The sequence below is a fragment of the Homo sapiens genome, chromosome 10 (assembly GCF_000001405.40).
Source record: "Homo sapiens chromosome 10, GRCh38.p14 Primary Assembly".
Classification (NCBI taxonomy): domain Eukaryota; kingdom Metazoa; phylum Chordata; class Mammalia; order Primates; family Hominidae; genus Homo; species Homo sapiens.
In genome coordinates this window covers 11,989,881-12,009,775 of record NC_000010.11, presented here as the reverse complement: position 1 = coordinate 12,009,775, position 19,895 = coordinate 11,989,881, and the positions used below count along the sequence as shown (strand labels likewise).

At 39.4% G+C, this 19,895-nt stretch overlaps 1 protein-coding gene across 5 annotated transcripts in view; it reads left to right on the top strand.

The window, feature by feature from the left end:
• Nucleotides 1-19,895, top strand: part of UPF2 (UPF2 regulator of nonsense mediated mRNA decay) — a 123,149-nt gene that overhangs the window by 33,395 nt on the left and 69,859 nt on the right. For all 5 annotated transcript variants that reach the window (NM_080599.3, NM_015542.4, XM_047424986.1 and 2 more), the window contains exons 5-8: nt 5,049-5,246; nt 7,951-8,100; nt 9,767-9,870; nt 12,019-12,104. In NM_080599.3, the coding sequence (NP_542166.1) occupies nt 5,049-5,246; nt 7,951-8,100; nt 9,767-9,870; nt 12,019-12,104 (538 nt within the window). The remainder of the gene's footprint in view (nt 1-5,048; nt 5,247-7,950; nt 8,101-9,766; nt 9,871-12,018; nt 12,105-19,895) is intronic.

The window sequence follows — 19,895 nt, the reverse complement described above, 5'->3', positions numbered from 1 at the left end:
TCTGGTACTGTGTCCTGGGAACTCTGCCTACCTTGGGTAGAGTATTACCAGACCCTCAGCTCTCATCCTCAACTCAGGGAGACTGCCTGGCTTCTCTCTTACTTGGCCACAGCCTGGAAAAATCTCTTTATGAAGTAAGCTGGGGCAATTGTAGAGCTGAGTTTTTCGTCTGCTCCCTATCAGGGATTATTTTCCTATACTGCCTGATGTCCAGTGTTTGAAAATCATTGTTTTAATATTGTTTGCTTGAATCTTTAGTTATTTTGGGTCACTGATATAGTACTTCACCTTGTGCAGAAGAGGCTTACATTGTCCAGTGATCAGAATATCCTTTATTCTATAGCCACTTTTTCCAGTTAATCATGTCTTAGATTTTTTTCATTTTAATACATTAGTGCCATCTAATTATTTTTAATTGCTACATAGTAATATCCTTTTGTATGGTTGTTCTGTAATTTACTTGTCCTCTGTTGATTAACACTTAATATTTCTGGCTTTTAGCTATTATTGTCAGTGCTGTAACAAAATCTCTGAACCTGCTTCTTTCTGTATATATGCTAGTATTTACAGGATACATTTCTAGAAGTAGAATTCTTGGGTTAAAAGGATATATGCATTTTAAGTTTCAATATATGATGCCATATTTTCTATTAAAGAAATTTACAGCAACCCAAATGCCCATCAATAATACACTAGATAGAGAAAATGTGGTACATATACACCATGGAATACTATGCAGCCATAAAAAAGAGTGAGTTCATGTCCTTTGCAGGGACATGGATGAAGCTGGAAGCCATCATTCTCAGCAAACTAACATAGGAAAAAAACCAAATACCACATGTTCTCACTCATAAGTGGGAGTTGAACAGTGAGAACACATGGACACAGGGAGGGGAACAACACACACTGGGGCCTGTTGGGAGGTTGGGGGTAAGGGGAGGGAGAGCATTAGGACAAATACCTAATGCATGCGGGACTTAAAACCTAGGTGACGGGTTGGTAAGTGCAGCAAACCACCATGGAACATGTATACCTATGTAACACACCTGCACATTCTGCACATGTATCTTGGAACTTAAAAAAAAAAATTTACATGCCACTAAGTGTATGAGAATGAATGTTTCTTTTTTTTTTTTTTTTTTTTTTGAGGTGGTGTCTTGCTCTGTCACCCAGGCTGGAGTACAGTGGTGCGATCTAAGCTCACTGCAAGCTCCGCCTCCCGGGTTCAAGCGATTCTCCTGCCTCAGCCTCCTGAGCAGCTGGGACTACAGGCATGTGTCACCATGCCTGGCTAATTTTTTGTATTTTTAGTAGAGATAGGGTTTCACTATGTTAGCCAGGATGGTCTCAATCTCCTGACCTCGTGATCTGCCCACCTCGGCCTCCCCAGGTGCTAGGATTACAGGTATGAGCCACTGCGCCTGGCCTGAGAATGACTGTTTCTTTACACTCTTACCACATTGCAGTTCTTAATTTTTAAATTTGAAGTCAGGTTTTAGCATCTTTAAGTTTATTGGCTGTTTTATAAATGTATTATTTTCCCTGTGAAATTCCTATTTGAATCTTTTATACCCCCACCCCCTGTCCTTTTTCCCCTTGTATCTTTTTAAAAAATTGATTTATAAAAGCACTTGGGAGGCTGAGGTGAGTGGAGCACTTGAGGTCAGGAGTTCTAGACCAGCCTGGCCAACATGGTGAAACCCCATCCCTACAAAAAATACAAAAGTTAGCTGGGTATTGTGGAGTGCGCCTGTAATCCCAGCTACTTGGGAGACTGAAGTGAGACAATTGCTTGAACCCAGGAGGCAGAGGTTGCAGTGAGCTGAGATTGCACTCCAGCCTGGGTGACAGAGCGAGACTCCATGTCAGAGAGAAAAAAAAAAAGCACTTTGTATATTAAGGAAATTATTATTATTATTATTATTATTATTATTATTATTACTTTGAGACGGCGCCTTGCTGTGTTGCCCAGGCTGGAGTGCAGTGGCGCGTTCACAGCTCACTGCAAGCTCTGCTCCCCGGGTTCACACCATTTTCCTGCCTCAGTCTCCTGAGTAGCTGGGACTACAGGTGCCTGCCACCACGGCCGGCTAATTTTTTTGTATTTTTAGTAGAGACGGGGTTTCACTGTGTTAGCTAGGATAGTCTCGATCTCCTGACCTCGTTATCCACCTGCCGCAGCCTCCCAAAGTGTTGGGATTACAGGCGTGAGCCACTGTGCCCGGCCGACGGAAATTATATTTTTTATATGCATTGCAACTATCACTCCTCTGTTTTTCTCTTGTCCTGTGCCTGTGATATTCCTATTTTTTATTACTTTTGATTTGGTAGTATTTTTACCTCTCAAAAGTTGAATTTCTTTTTTATGATTTACATTATTTTTTAGATACACAAAATATTTATGCATATTATAGATTAAAAAGTGAAAGTTTACTGTCAGATGCATTACATTCTCCAAGGTAACCACTCTTAACAGCTTGATAGTAATGTGTCCAGACTTTACTTTTTTCCAGAAAATATATATAATCAGATATCTCTAGCTTCATTAACTTAGGTGAGATATTTTGCATGATTTCCTTTATTGTTTCAATTATTATTTTTGAGAGCTTTCTGAGTCAGTTCTTGTAGATACATCTCATTCCTTTTAACACCTGATTAATATTACATAGTTGTCTTAGTCTTTTCAGGCTGCTGTAACAAAATACCCTAGACCGGGCAACTTATGAACAACAGAAACTTGTTCCTCTGTCTGGAGTCTGGGAAGTCTAAGATCAAGGTGCCAGCCAAGTTGGTGTCTGGCGAGGACTCTGCTTCACAGATGGGTGGGTGAGTGGGGCTGAAAGTTCTAAGCCTGTAATCACTCGGTCTTTCTGGTGACTTGGCTCCATCGTAGAGACCATCCAGAGACTCCACCCTAAGTCACCTCATTAGCATCAGCTGAGGTAGGATCAAAAAGCTTGTTATGAATAACAAAATACATTCCTTTCACTCAGGAAATTCTAAGGGTTTTAGGAGGTCTGCCAGGAACCAAGGACAAACACCAAATATATTCATTATACTATGCTCTATATATTATGGATGTATTCTTTAAATATTGTCAATATTGTCTTCCAGTTTGTTTTTTGCTTTTGTTTATACTTTTCATTAAACAGAAGTTGTAAATATGTCAGTGTTTTTCTTTTTGGTGTATGGGTTTAGTGTCCTAATAAGTCTGTGTTTAAATATATTTTCTGTAAGGAAAGTAAGGAGTTTCGAGGAGCCAGTGTTTTTTTTGTTTTTGGTGTTCTTATTTTCATAAATCACATTTAATGAATAATCTAACTTACGGTTAATTTTAATTTACATAATCTATTTATAATTCTCATTTGGAGAGAAGTATGTGAGAGTAGATAAGTTCATGAATGGGCTCATAATCATAAAGTAGGAAGTTAATTACTTTCAGTGTTCTGAGTTTATGATCTATAGTTGTATGTACTGCATGTGTGTAAATAGGTACATACTTTCCATTCTCTAATAAGAGATCTGTACGCTTCATCTTTCTTCCCTTCTTTTCCAGTTATCAATTGACTGACATTTATGGCATAAAAGAAAATAAAGGCTGAGCGTGGTCACGCATGCCTGTAATCCCAGCACTTTGAGAGGCTGAGGCAGGTGGATCCCCTGAACTTAGGAGTTTGAGACCAGCCTAGGCAACATAATGAAACCCCATCTCTACTAAAAATGGAAAAATTAGCTGGGCTTGATGACGCATGCCTGTAGTCCCAGCTACTCAGGAGGTTGAGGCAGGAGGATTGCATGAGCCCAGGATTTCGAGGCTACAGTAAGCTATGATCATGTCACTGCACGCCAGCCTTGGCAGCAGAGTGAGACCCTGTCTCAATTCAAAAAAATAAATAATAAATAAACGCTGGGCGTGGTGGCTCACGCCTGTAATCCCAGCACTTTGGGAGGCTGAGGCAGGTGGATCACCTGAAGTCAGGAGTTTGAGACCAACCTGGCCAACATGGCGAAACCCCATCTCTACTAAAAATAACAAAAAAGTAGCCAAGTGTGGTGGCGGGCGCCTGTAATCCCAGCTACTTGGGAGGCTGAGGCAGGAGAATTACTTGAAGCTGGGAGGTGGAGGTTGCAGTGAGCTGATGTTGCGCCATTGTACTCCAGCCTGGGTGACAGAGTAAAACTCTGTTTAAAAAAAATAAAATTTCAGGACCCTCTAAATTTATTATAGCAAGGGGGAAATTAAGCCTTGGAGACTGAACTACATAACCAGTATGTATCTTTCCCAAAAAAGACGACTTCTACTAATCAGGTTGTTGTAACTGTGCATTAAACCTTATGAGGAAAGATGTTGAAATTACCTAAACTTTCTCTGTATAAACAATCTCAAACTTCTACCCTTTGGAACACTGACTTCTGTTCTTTAGAATCTCTGCTTCCTGGGAGGCTGTCCTCAAACTTTGCAATTGAATAAACTCTCTTTAAAACTAGATTCTGACCTTTTTGATTATTTTAGGTTGACAGTGGCAATCTACCATGTGCCAAGGATTATGCCAAAAGGAGGGATGCTTCTTAAGTAAAGGTTTATGGTCTGTTTTTGGAGATATAAATGGTATATAAGTATGATGTAAATAGTATAGAGGATTATGAGTTGCCAAAAAAAAAAAAAATACTCATGGGGGAGGTGGGACTTTAAACGGATGTCTTAGGAGTGGCCAGGCTTATATATTTTATTTTTTGATTTTAAGTTTCATGAAAGTAGACCTAATTTATCAAATGGCTACTTAATCTCATATTAATTGCTTAAAACAAATGTAAGAGAAAAAAATCTTTATGTTGTTCTCTAGTCTGTTTTATTTTAGGGCTTTATTTAAAACACAGTTTGTGATTTGGTGTTGAAAACGGTCACATGTGCTTGTTAATTGAAGAAGTTCCTGTCAGTTGAAACACTCAAGATTCAATAGATGTAAAACTGAAAAAATAACTTATGTCATGTTTATCATGCTATAACCTCAAGTTATGTTAATTACTTGTGATTTATTTTATTGTAGAACATGGGCCTGGAATTGATATATTCACACCTGGTAAACCTGGAGAATATGACTTGGAAGGTGGTATATGGGAAGATGAAGATGCTCGGAATTTTTATGAGAACCTCATTGATTTGAAGGCTTTTGTCCCAGCCATCTTGTTTAAAGACAATGAAAAAAGTTGTCAGAATAAAGAGTCCAACAAAGATGATACCAAAGGTAAATTCTAGAGAAAAAATATTTACATTAAGTGCTATAAGAATTAGCTTCAAAATAGTATTTGTAAAAAAAAAATATATATATTGTAGTTACTAGTTTTGTAATATGAACATTGAGTCATTAGAGTAAATGAGTGACAGAATTATATGGAATGATGGAGCATTAAAGGATGATAATTGACATACTTTTAACAGTGCTGATACATTTAAGTTAATGTGAATTAATTGGAAAGTGTTTGTTTATAATGTCTTGTAGTGAATTCAAGTGAGGTCTTGGTAAGATGCACATTTCCCCCAGGTATCAGATTGTTAGGGCAGGTGTTAGCTCTATGATGCTCATTACCTGTACTGCCCTTTCTAGGCTAGATAGAACCAACTCTTTGAGAAGAAGAGTGACTTTAGAGAAGTCAGAGCTTTTAGGTCGTTAATAGAGTGGGAGTTTCTGAATGCCGGTTACATTGTGTTTCTCAGGTTTGTCTTACATTTGCTGCTGCTATTCTAATCTAACTCCCATCCTCTCTCACCCGGGTTACTGTAATACCTCCTACCTGGTTGCCCTGTATTTGCTGTTTCCTTCTATGCATTCTTTTTTTTTTTTTTTTTTTTTGAGGCGGAGTTTTTGCTCTTGTCCAGGCTGGAGTGCAGTCATGTGGTCTCAGCTCACTGCAACCTACGCTTCCCAGGTGCAAGTGATTCTCCTGCTTTAGCCTCCCAAGTAACTGGGATTACAGAAGTGTGCTGCCATGCCTGGCTAATTTTGTATTTTTAGTAGAGATGGGGTTTCACCATGTTGGTCAGGCTGGTCTTGAACTCCTGACTTCAAGTGATCCACCTGCCTCAGCTTCCCAAAGTGCTGGGATTACAGGCGTGAGCCACCGCGCTCAGCCTATGCATTCCTAAACGTTAATTTTACTCTCCTGCCTACCTGATGTCCTTGAATAACTTTACATGTACTTGGAATATAATTTAAAATTGTTAACATTGTCTCTAGGACCCTGCATAGTTTCTCTCAGGTTTGCCATTACAACTCTATTACCCTTAATTTGCCATCCTTCTCAGTCTCTGAAATGGGCCCATCTTCTTGCCTTCTTGCCTTCCTGCATTGTTCTGTTTTCTGGTTGGAACCCTCTCCCACCATACCCTATTTGACTACCTTATGCATATTAGTTTAATTTCCTCAGATAAATTGTATGTTTTTTGAGAGCAAGGGTCACATTTTAAGCTTTTTTCAGAATGTTTGACAGCTTAGCGTCATTCTGAACATGTAGCTGATTAGTAGATGTTTTAGTAGCCAGACATCAGGGGACATTGGGGAGTGACTGCATGCTCCATGTGGGCAGGAGTTTTTCTCTGCTGTACTCACAGGTATATTCCTGGTGCTTAGAACAATACCTAGCACATAGTAGGAATTCAATAAAAGTAGAATGAAAAGATGAATGAATGAGAAAGTAGAAGTCTGTTTTCATCTAGAGGTAGCAAAACTGATTCATACTAGTTAGAGTTTTCATCCTCCCAAATAAGATATGACATCAAGTATCAGTAAGACATTTCTGTGTTCAATGCATAAATTAGGAGATTAGAGACTATAAGAGATGAAGCTGAGAAATACCATACTTTCAATTTAAGTATACATTCCTGAACTCAGGTTTTATTGGCTTTTGTTTTTTATTTACGAGAATTTTATTTGATTTGCGAAAACACAAAAGAAGGCTGGTATAGTGAACTTGGATTTACCTATCACTCAACTTCAGTTATTAATATTTTGTCAGTTTTATTTAGCTAAGGTTTGGTTTCTCTTCTTTTTTATTCTTCCAATTTTGCCTTTTACCAGTTACTGGCCATTTTCCTTTGTTGTGTTTCATTTTTTGGTTTTCTCTAACCCTTCACATTGAAATGATAAGGATATTTTCCTAATTGGTCTTTCTACATCTACCCTTTTCTGACTTTCTAATTGATTTTATATATTGCTGCTAAGTTAATTTTCACATCAGATCCCTTTTAAATATTATCCCTTGCATAAAGGAGAAAGTCTCAACTCCTCATCTGGGAGTTTGAGACGCTTTTTAATGTGAGTCCACTTTAATCAGCCTTTTTTCCCCCTCATCTTTAGCATAGATAGATCCTCACGCCATGTAAGTCCTCATCCACACAATCTCTCTCCATCCAGTCATCCATCCATCTCTTCAGTTAACAAATGGTATACATAATCAGAGAAGATATAGCCTTCGTTCTCAATGAGCATAATGTATATATTTTTTTGAGACTTAGTTTCGCCCTTTTTGCTCAGGCTCAAGTGCAGTGGTGCTCTCTCGGCTCACTGCAGTCTCCACCTCCTGGGTTCAAGCAATTCTCCTGCCTCAGCCTCCTGAGTAGCTGGGATTACAGACATGTGCCACCATGCCCAGTTAATTTTTGTATTTTTAGTAGAGATGGGGTTTCACCATGTTGGTCAGGCTGGTCTCAAACTCCTGACCTCAGGTGATCCTCCCTCCTCGGCCTCCCAAAGTGCTGGGATTACAGGGGTGAGCCATCATGCCCAGCCGAGCATAATGTGTTTTATAAAATCTAAATATATTAACTTCAGTTGCCAGGTATACATGCAGCTTCTAAAAGAACCTGCAGATTTTGTGAGTCTTAATCTACTTTTGTGCAGCAGGATTTTCATATGACTTTGAATTTAGGTATACTTGTTTGTTTTTCAACAGAGGCAAAAGAATCTAAGGAGAATAAGGAGGTATCAAGTCCCGATGATTTGGAACTTGAGTTGGAGAATCTAGAAATTAATGATGACACCTTAGAATTAGAGGGTGGAGATGAAGCTGAAGATCTTACAAAGAAACTTCTTGATGAACAAGGTAAAGAACTAATTTACCAACTTTCATTTTTAATTGGTTTTTACACACAGAGCTCTTGCCTAAGAATATAGATCTTTTCTCCTTAATTCTGTATTTTTTAATTCCTTGTTTTTCTGTTGTTTTCAGTCCATCACTGTTTTCAGAATTTGATTTATAACAGGACACTACATACCCAGTATTGTGTGTCTACAAACTTTAATGATCATCTAAATTTTAAATACCTTAGTTCTAAATAATATTTTTTATTTTATTTTTTTTTCTGAAACTAAGTCTCACTCTTGTCCTCCAGGCTGGAATGCAATGGTACGATCTTGGCTCACTGCAACTTCTGCCTCCTGGGTTCAAGCAATTCTCCTGCCTCAGCCTCCCAAGTAGCTGGGATTACAGCTGCCTGCCACCATGCCCAGCTAATTTTTGTATTTTTAGTAGAGATGGGGTTTCACCATGTTGGCCAGGCTTGTCTCGAACTCCTGACCTCAGGTGATCCGCCCGCCTTGGCTCCCAAACTGCTGGGATTACAGGCATGAGCCACCGCACCCGGCCCTAAATATCTTAAAATATACTTTTCTCGCTACCCCTTCTGTGATAGAATAAAGATACTTACACTTTTCTGAGAACTTGATAGCATTCTCCTGATTGATTTAATTCTATGACATAATCTTTACAAACAACATAAATGTATTTGAAAGTTATTCTGAAATGATTACTAGGTGGGAATATGACTAGCTTATCAGTTCATCTGTTAATTTTGTCTGTCTTTATAATTGAGTTGTGTTTGTATTCAGTAATACAAATATTACATTTATTCCCTAAATGCTTCTTATCGAGTTTTGAGTTGATTAGCTAGGATTCCTTTATTTATTTACTTTTTTGAGACAGGGTTTCACTCTTGCCCAGGCTGGAGTGCCATGGCATGATCATAATTGACTGCAGCCTCAAACTCCCGAGCTCAAGTCATCCTCCTGCATCAACCTCCAAGTAGCTGGGACTGTAGACGTGCACCACCACACCCAGCTTATTTTACTTTATTTTATTTTGTTTTATTTTATTTTATATTTTTTAGAGACAGGGTCTTGTTATGTTACCCAGACTGGTCTTGGACTCCTGGCCTCAAGTGATCCCCCTGCCTCAGCCTCCCAAGGCCCTGGCATTATAGGCATGAGCCATCACACCTGGCCAAGATTCTTTATTAGAAGGATACCTTCTGTCAATATTGCTTTTCTCTCTGTTGGCTTTACCCTATCTTACTGCAGATTCTTTCTCTATGTAAACCAGCCACCCTCCTTAGAATTACATGAAATAGGGAGGCTTAGTTCTTCAAAGGCAAGAATTGGGAGTGCTGTTAATGGAAGAACATGGGGGAAGGGATGCTGGGCAGACACCAATAACATTTACCATAACACTGCATGCTTTTTCTGACCAAGTTTTTGTGCCTAATGCAAAAAGTTTGACTTTTATAGTTGATACCTGAAGGACTGTAGTGAATTGATGTTATGATTCTAGAGTTACCTAAACTTTCTAGGATAATATTCTAAAAAATGACTAATGTTTTCCTGGGCACAAAAATTGGTCTAGATTATCTATTTTCCAAATAATTCATCATTGGATGTTTTTATTCTGTGTTCTCTTTTTTTTTTAACCTATTTAAAAACTAATTTTACATTAGAACAAGAAGATGAGGAAGCCAGCACTGGATCTCATCTCAAGCTCATAGTAGATGCTTTCCTACAGCAGTTACCCAACTGTGTCAACCGAGATCTGATAGACAAGGTATTGGTATCTCTGTGTAACTTTATTCAAGCACATGGACCTTGTAGGAGTCCTCTGATAAGGAATGTCTATGGTTTTTAGACTGTTTGAGCTACAAAGTCCACCATTTCTTCAAATAAAGTCTTAGATGGGAATTCAGCATAAGCAGACAAAATTGGATGTAATTCATAGATGCTCTGTTTGGGTAGAGAATTGGCTGTAGCATCCTGTCCTGTTCATACATGGATCCCATAGTTTGGAAAATATTGTTTTAGATCAAAGGTGCTAAAAGTATGGTTTCTGGATTTTTAATGGCTTTGAGGCACTTCCTGGGGTTCTGTGAGGTCAAAAATTCTTTTGATGATAATACTAAGTTTTTTTTTCTTGTGTGTGTTTTTTTTTTTTTTTTTTTTTGAGATGGAGTCTCACTCTTTCGCCTAGGCTGGAGTGCAATGGTGTGATCCTGGCTCACTGCAACCTCCACCTCCCAGGTTCAAGCAATTCTCCTGCCTCAGCCTCTCGAGTAGCTGGGATTACAGGCACGCGCCATCATGCCGGCTAATTTTTTTGTATTTTTAGTAGAGACATGGTTTCATCATATTGGCTGGGCTGGTCTCGAACTCCTGACCTTGTGATCCGCCTGCCTTGGCCTCCCGAAGTGCTCGGATTACAGGCATGAGCCACCATACCCGGCCGATGTTTTTTTTTCTTTTTTATTGTTTTGACATTTGCAAAAGTGATGGTGGGTAGAGCTACTAGCATTTTATCATGATTCAAGGTAGTGGTACCAAATTATACTAGCATTATATTTTCACCATGCATTTGCAATTAAAAAAACAGTGCCACTGTCACTTAAGAGTCTCCTTGTTGAGTCCATACAAATGAGTTTTTTTTTTTTTTTTTGAGTGGAGTCTTGCTCTGTTGCCCGGTCTGGAGTGCAGTGGCACGGTCTTGGCTCACTGCAACCTTTGTCTCCCAGATTCAAGTGATTCTCCTGCCTCAGCCTCCTGAGTAGCTGGGACTACAGGCGTGCACCACCACGCCCAGCTAATCTTTTTATTTTTTATTTTTTTGAGACGGAGTCTTGCTCTGTTGCCCAGGCTGGAGTGCAGTGGCATGTTCTCGGCTCACTGCAAGCTCCGCCTCCCGGGTTCACGCCATTCTCCTGCCTCAGCCTCCCGAGTAGCTGGGACTACAGGTGCCCGCCACCATGCCCGGCTAATTTTTTATATTTTTAGTAGAGACAGGGTTTCACTATGTTGGCCAGGCTGGTCTTGAACTCCTGACCTCACGTGATCCACCCACCTCGGCCTCCCAGAGTGCTAGAATTACAGGTGTGAGCCACCGTGCCCATCCAAGGAGCGATTTTTATTATGTTTCAACCTTAACTACACATGCCTATAGTCTCAGCTGCTTGGCCGGGAGCTGAGGCAGGAGGATCCCTGGAGCCTGGCAGAGCAAGGCTGCAGTGAGCCATGATTGTGCCACTGCACCCCAGCCTGGGTGACAGAGTGAGACCTTGTCTCAGAAAAAAGTCTGTCCAGGTGGTAATGGTCATCTAGATAAATTCCCTGTTTTATGAAATTTTAGACAGGGGATTGAAGACAGTTGAGTTTCTTTTGGAAGAATTCTCCTCTGTCAGTTAAGGCATCTTGGAGAGAGAGAGAGAGCGCCATTTCCTGCACTTGTGAAGAGAAACAAGGGTTGGTCAGAGAGACCTTCACTGAGGCCGCTTATCAGGCTTTCCAGTTTTCTTAGTTCAAATGAAGTACTCAGCATCCAAAGAGCCATATTTTGGGGTATTGCTTTCTAAACCCTAACATTACCAAATCTGACTGTCGACACTAAACTTTTTTAGTGAATGTGGGGGCACACTTCTTCTTCTTCCATCTTCTTGGGTATAATTTGTGCCTGTCTCTTTCTCTTTGCTCATTCCCCTTTACTGCTTTTTGGTTATCCTTATTAGCATTAGTAATTTTCTTGGCTCTTGGTAACTATTCTTGCTACTTTTGAGCTCTATCAGAAAACTTTCCTGATACTAACAATACTAGTTTCTTAAAACCATTTTGAAATGTTTAAGAACAAATAAAAATATCATAGTAGGCAGGATTTCTGCTCTCCGTAACTAATTAGAGGTTTTTAAAGAAAAAGTTTACTTTTTCCCAATAGGCAGCAATGGATTTTTGCATGAACATGAACACAAAAGCAAACAGGAAGAAGTTGGTACGGGCACTCTTCATAGTTCCTAGACAAAGGTAAGTGTTATGAAAGAGAAATTTATTAGTGTTTTTACTCTGTAGTGCTGGCTGTAAGATCAAAATTCTTACCTCTTGAAAAATATTGCTTTTGATTTTATTCACTCTGTAGGTCATTAGCATTATTAGCATATTTTTTAGAACTTGTTTCCCATTAATTTTTGTTCATTGCTTGTTAGCTCTAATGGGAATATTTCTTCTGATATCTAATTATTTTAAAATAAAATGTTTAAGAGTAGCTTAAGAAGAAGAAGAAGAATTGCTAGAAGCAATTGTTTGCATTTTTGCCTCTGAGGAAAAAGTAATAAATGGAACATAATTTTTTTGGAGAGTTTTTATTTTGTGCAAAGATGAGGGTAATGTAATATATTTAGTTCTCAGATTTATGTTTAAATGAAAAATTTCAAGTTATTTAGGTAATTATGATAGTTAAGAGGTATGATAGCCTGCCTAGAGACTCATTGGATAGAATTGGAAATCATATTAATGATTATGTTGCTAGTAATTCAAGACACACATTCAGTTGCATAATGCTTTTAGAGAATTCTGATGCATTATATTACATTAAATTAAAATTTCTACTTCACCTGAACATTTCAGGACCACTCATAGACTGTTGACCTTAGAATCCTGGAGGAGATCTATTTCTGTTTATTCAACAATAAATAATTAAATAATTTTGTTAACTATTAAGATGATTACATATGACATAGCTCAGACAGATACTCTCCCCAAAAGATAAGGATTCTGAGGGATTTCAATGAAGGTTTCTTGAGCAGAATTTTAATGTGGTTCATTCATTGATGGAGGCCCATGATCTCTTGATAATGGTAAGATTTCTCAGTGAAACCAAATCACTACTTGCCTTTTTTCTTTCATATTAGTTTTTTAATCTCCTGCTAGCGTTATTCATTTTAGTGGGGCAAGGGAGAGGGAATGTGTTAATGTAGTGAGTAGGTAATTAAGAATTATGTAATTGAAGAAGTCATATGGATGAATATTTTTATAACGTAAAATTACATACTTCAGGCCAGGCGCGGTGGCTCAGGCCTGTAATCCCAGCACCTTGGGAGGCTGAGGCAGGTGGATCACCTGAGGTCAGGAGTTTGAGACCAGCCTGACCAACATGGTGAAACCCCATCTCTACTAAAATACAAAATTAGCTGGGTGTGGTGGCGCATGCCCATACTCAGCTTCTCATGAGGCCATGGCAGGAGAACCGGTTGAACCCAGGAGGCGGAGGTTGCAGTGAGCCAAGATCATGCTATTGCACTCCAGCCTGGGCAACAGAGCGAGATTCCATCTCAAAAAAAAAAAAGGTTGAATGAAGTGACAGTTTATCATAAGTATTAAAAAAAGATGCAAGTATTCTAGAGCCATGAGAAATAGATCTCGTAGTCTTATATACTTGCAGTATATAAATACAATTAAGTATATTATAATCAGCCTGATAATCAGGAAAGATTGTTATATTATTCTAAAATGTACTCATTCATTAAATAATTCGTTACGGGTCTGCTGTGTACTGTGATCCATGCTGGAGATACAGTACAGGGGTGAACAAGATCATCTTAGTTCTTGTATTCATACAGCTTACACTTTGGAGAGGAAGACAGAGGAGTAATTCTAAGTGCCTTTGTCAAGAAGAAGCGCAGCATGCTTTGAAGCATAGAGCCAAGTGGAACTGACTGATTGAGTCTGAGGAGTCAGAGAAGACTGCCTGGAACAAGGGTCATTTAATCTGAGGCCTGAGAAGAATGGACTAGTTAAGGGATGGGTGGGGATTGGGAATGTAGGGAGAGCATTGCTGACAGAGGCAACAGTATGTGCAGGGAGTCAGAGACAGGAAAGGTCATGGCATCAAACTCTTGGTAAAACCTCTTTTTTTTTGATACAGAGTCTCACTTGTCGCCCAGGCTGGAGTGCAGTGGTGCGATCTCAGCTCACTGCAACCTCCGACTCCAGGGTTCAAGCGATTCTCCTCCCTCAGCCTCCCGAGTAGCTGGGACTATGGGCTCCCACCACCATGCCCGGCTAATTTTTATATTTTTAGTAGAGATGGGGTTTCACCCTGTTGGCCAGGCTGATCTTGAGCTCCTGACTTCGTGATCCGCCTGCCTCAGCCTCCCAAAGTGCTGGGATTAGATGTGTGAGCCACCGCGCCAGCCAAACCTCTTTTTTAAATTCTTTGACATTGTCCTCTAGACTGTAAACTGCAGGAAGGAGGCCATGTTTACTGCTTTATACCCAGCACATAGCACAATGCCTGTCATGTGAAAGGTGATAAAATTAGGTAACAAGATATGTAATGCCCTTTCTTAGCTAGCTGGTTTTCAACTTCTTCAGTCTTAATTCTAACCATTCTTCCTTCTGCAGAATCTTGATCTGTAATGGTTTCTCGAATACTGTTTGCTCTCTCTACTCCCATACCTTTGCCACTGCTTTCTGCTTTTATCTGGGATGTCCTTTATTTTTCCACTGGAAATCTTTGACTCACCTTTAAGTCTTTAACAAGAGCTATCCTCTATGAACAGCCTTCCTTTTTTCCCTTGTGTAGATAGAGGTATTCTTTATAGCACTTCATGTCTTCTTACGAAGAATTAGGCACATCATATTCCGATTGTTGGTTTGCTTCCTGTCTCCCTGCCAGACTTGAAACTATCACTCTTTTTTTTTTTTTTTTTTTTTTTTTTTTTGAGATGGAGTCTCACTCTGTTGCCCAGGCTGGAGTGCAGTGGCGCGATCTCGGCTCACTGCAAGCTCTGCCTCCCAGGTTCACGCCATTCTCCTGCCTCAGCCTCCCAAGTAGCTGGGACTACAGGCGCCTGCCACCACGCCCGGCTAATTTTTTGTATTTTTAGTAGAGATGGGGTTTTATTGTGTTAGCCAGGATGGTTTCGATCTCCTGACTTCGTGATCCACCCGCCTCGGCCTCCCAAAGTGCTGGGATTACAGGCGGAAACTATCACTCTTTAGGAAAGAGGACTCGATCTTTTCATTTTGTGCATCTCCAACACCAAGTATAGTGTTTGGCATATAGTCCAAGCTTAAAATATTTGATGAATTAATCTTGGCCATATGCAGTTTTAAATAATAAATTATAAGGCTCTATAGCTCAAAATCCAGAAGTAGAAAACATTATATGATGAAAAGTATCCTTCTTATCCTTGCCTTCCCATCTACCCAATTTCCACTCCTTTCAGTAGGAAATCAGTATCTTGATGCTTGTGTATTCTCCCAAAGATTCTTTTGCGTATACAAGAAAATACAATTATAGATTCTTATTTCCTGTTTTTAACACAGTGGGCAGCTGATACATATCTTTTCATCTCAGGACATAAAGATTTCCTTTGTTCGTTATTTTAAAGCTGCAGTGTTTCTTTTGATGAATGTACTATATTTAACTGTTACAGACAGTGCCATATTTGAATTTGTACTTCCTCTTTTCTCCTCGTGGTTATGTTAGCTAATGGTTTACCTAGTTTTTTCCTACTAAAAAAACTCAGCTTTTAGATTTATTATTTATTCTCTTTAATGATTTTCTTACTGTTATTTTTGGCTTTGTTCTTTATTAATTTCTTCTTTTGGGTTTCTTCCATTTATTTTGTTTCTTTTCTAGCACTTCATATATGAGTTGTCCATTGAGCATAGTTTAAGCCATGTCTCTTGGTTCTTTTTTTTTAGAGACAGGGTCCTGCTCTGTTGCCTAGGCTTGAGTGCAGTGGTGAGATTACAGCTCACTGCAGCCTCAACCTCCCAGGCTCTAGCAATCCTTTCACGTTAGCCTCGCAAGTAGCCGGGACCACAGGCATGAACCACCATGTCTGGCTAATTTTTACATTAATTAATTTTTTTTTTTTGGTAGGGTCGAGGTCTTGTTATATTGACCAGGCTAGTCTTGAACTCCTGGGCTCAAGCAGCTCCTCCTGCTTTGGCCTCCGAAAGTGCAGGGATTACAGGCATGAGCCGCTGTGCCCAGCCATCTGTTAGTTCTGACATGTGGTAATTTTAGTTTTATTTCCTTTGTGACCCAAGGAATTTCAAAATTTCCAGGTAGAGGGGCTTTTTGTTTTGTTTTGTGGCTTTGTCAATAATTTATATTTTTATTGCATTTTGATTAGAGAATACTGTCTGGTTTTTTTTTTGGAATTTTTGAAGTTTACTTTGTCTCTAATTATATAGTCAGTAAATGTATTGATCAGGTTTACATGATTAAATAATGATTCAGATCTATTTTCTTACATTTTTGGCCTCTTGCCCAGAGGTCATGGCCTGAGAGGTGGATTAAAGGTGTGACTCCCGATGTGTTGCATTTCTCCTAATAGCTACTAGGATTCCAGCTTTCTGTATATTACTGTTGTGTTATTTGTTGTATAGATAAAACTTAATTGTGAATTACATACATCTTTTATCATTATAAAGTGTTCTTCTTGGTCTTATTTAATGCCTTTTGGCCTGAATTCCAACTCATCTGATATTAATGATTATGATTGCTGCCTTTTTTTTTTTTTTTTTTTTTTTTGAGGTGGAGCCTCACTCTGTCACCCAAGCTGGAGTGCAGTGGTGTGATCTCTGCTCACTGCAACCTCCACCTCCTGGGTCCAAGCGATTCTCCCACCTAAGCCTCACATGTAACTGGGATTTCACGCGTGTACCACCACGCCCGGGTAATTTTTTGTAGTTTTAGTAGAAACGGGGTTTCACCATATTAACCAGGCTGGTCTTGAACTCCTGACCGCAAGTGATTCACTCGCCTTGGCCTCCCAAAGTGCTGGGATTACAAGTGTGAGCCACCTGCGCCTGACTGCTGCTTTCTTTTTATTTGCGTTTGGTATACATGTGCCTTTTATTTGGTATACCTGTGCCCTTTATTTTATATTCCATCTTTCAGAATCATTTTATTTTAGTTGAGTCTCTTTTATGTACAATTGAATTGAATTTTACTCTCAGACATATTCTGAAAGTATGTTTCTTTTAATGAAAGTAATTTAGGCTATTTATGATTGGCTTGAGTTCTGTAATATTTTCCTTTTTGGTTTAATTCCTAAAAGTCTTTCATTATGTGGTCTTTTATATTTTTTAATTTAGTGTGCACGCATGAGTGTATGTTTCTTGGTTTTAGGAAGGTTTGCATTATTATTTTATTACTTTATGATTGTAAGTTTGCTTAGCGATTATTTATTTAGACAGTCTCTGTTGTTTTCTACCATGAGCAGTGGTAAGATTAGTTTGTGGTGTCTTCTTTTCTTACTCTCTTTAGTCACTCATCTGATATTAGTTAATAATGTTTTCTTCCTTAATATTTTCCTTTTTACTCTTAAATGTACTTATTCTTGTATTTGAGTGATATTTAACTTTCAGCATTATTTCAGTAGGCAAGCGGCACACCTGACTTCCTGTCTGCTTTTCCATCCCCCCTCACTTATTTTTATATTGATGACATATCCTGATAGGGAATAAAACATTTATATTAAAATTTCTTGCTCTAATGCCCTTATTTGCTGAAGGTCATTTTCATTTTTTTTTTTGAGACTGAGTTTTGCTCTATTGCCCATGCTGGAGTGCAGTGGCGCGATCTTGGCTCACTGCAACCTCTGCCTCCAGTTCAAGCGATTCTTCTGCCTCAGGCTCCTGAGTAGCTGGGATTACAGGCGCCCGCCACCACGCCCAGCTAATTTTTGTATTTTTAGTAGAGACAGGGTTTCATCATGTTGGCCAGGCTGGTCTTGAACCCTGGACCTCAGGTGATCCGCTCACCTCAGCCTCCCAAGGTGCTGGGATTGTGGGTGTGAGCCACTGCGCCTGGCCTGAAGTTCATTTTCTAATAGTTTTCTCAAAAAGTGTTCTTGGGGAAAAATGTGCCTTGAATTTCTCTATGTTCAGAATTGGGGCTATGTTACTTGAATGGCTGCTTGACTGGTTATAGTGGAGAATCCACAGCTCATACCTTTTAACCCTAAATATCATGTAGGTGTCACTCAATAGTCATTTGGCATTTGCCATTACTGTGTTGAAATCTAGGCGAGCTGGCCTTTTTTTTTTCCTCTCTTAAAATTAACTTGGTCATTTAAATGGCTGCCCAAATAATTTTTTCTCTAATTAATCAAGTAAATCCAATAACTTTCCTAGGATAAATAGTTCTTGGTGTTGATCATTCTGGGTCCTTCTTCATGCCCTTTCCATTTTCATATTGAAAAATTCAGGGAATTTTTAAAATTTATTTATTTCCTCAAATATATTTAAATACTAGTTCTGTTATCTTGTTTTGGCTTTCTTTTTTAGGTACCCCAATGATGCATATGTTGACTGTGCTGTGGTTGTTTTCTGGCGATTTTATTCTTACCAGTCACTGTTTTCAGTGTTGTCTTTTTCTTACTCAACATTCTGCAAAGTCTTTTCCCTCTACTACTCTTTTTCTCATTTCTTCTTTTAGTTCATTCAGTTCTTTAAAAAATGCATGGAAAACTGGCCAGAATTTTCATATATTTCATGGCAGTATGTTTCTGGAGAATTTTGTTTGGTAGGTTTTGAGGAATTTGTTCTTTTCATTCTTATTTTTTTAATTTAAAAAAATTGACAGTACCTTTGCACTGATGCTGTACTTACCCTCTTTTTATTACGTATCATGAGTTAGATTTGCTCAGCTTTGTTATTAACAGGTTTCCTTTTTTTTTTTTTTTTTGAGATGGAGTCTTGCTCTGTCGCTCAAGCGCTGAAGTGCAGTGGCCTGATCTTGGCTCACTGCAAGCTCCGCCTCCTGGGTTCACACCATTCTCCTGCCTCAGCCTACCAAGTAGCTGACACTACAGGTGCCCGCCACCACGCCCAGCTAATATTTTGTATTTTTAGTAGAGACAGGGTTTCACCATGTTAGCCAGGATGGTCTCGATCTCCTGACCTAGTGATCTGCCAGCCTCGGCCTCCCGAAGTGCTGAGATTACAGGCGTGAGCCACTGGGCCTGGTCAACAGGTTTCCTTTTTTTTTTTTTTTTTGAGACAGAGTCTTGCTCTTCACCCAGGCTGGAGTGCAGTGGCATGATCTCGGCTCACTGCAAGCTCCGCCTCCCAGGTTCACGCTATTCTCCTGCCTCAGCCTCCTGAGTAGCTGGGACTACAGGCACCTGCCACCACGCCCGGCTAATTTTTTGTATTTTTGGTTGAGATGGGGTTTCACCATGTTAGCTAGGATGGTCTCGATCGCCTGACCTCGTGATCCACCCGGCCTCCTAACCCTTTTTAAGGACATATTTTTGCTATTGTTTCTGATGTTGGTTGCTTTGGGGGCCGTTTCCCTGTTCTGCATGGGCATTGCATTTCCTCATGGAGCTTTTGCTTAGTCTTTGCCCTGCCTTTCCAGATGCTAAGCATTTGTTGTATGTCAGGAATATGGGTTTATCATTGAAAGGTAGAACTTGAGGATAAGTGGTCAAACTATAGAGAAACAATATGTGTTTATCATTGAAAGAAGCATGTTGATGGCATATTTGAAGATCTGCCCTGTTTGGGCCAGCTTTCCCTTTTCTTTTCATTTGCTTATCCTGCTGTAATTTACCTTGAAGCAAATCTGGACAGATTGGGTGGCTTCAGCCAGACTTTTTTTTCGAAGTTCATGTTTTCTTACATTAATATCATTCTAGCTTCCTATAACTGAAAAACTATTTTCAGCTTTATTGGTGTGAGCCATTACTTTTCCTGAGAAAATGGATAAGCCAGGATAGGTTAGGGATGTTGGAGGAACAACAAACCTCTGAAATCTGAGGTTCTCGAAGTCCTCTGGGTTTGGTGGGCTCC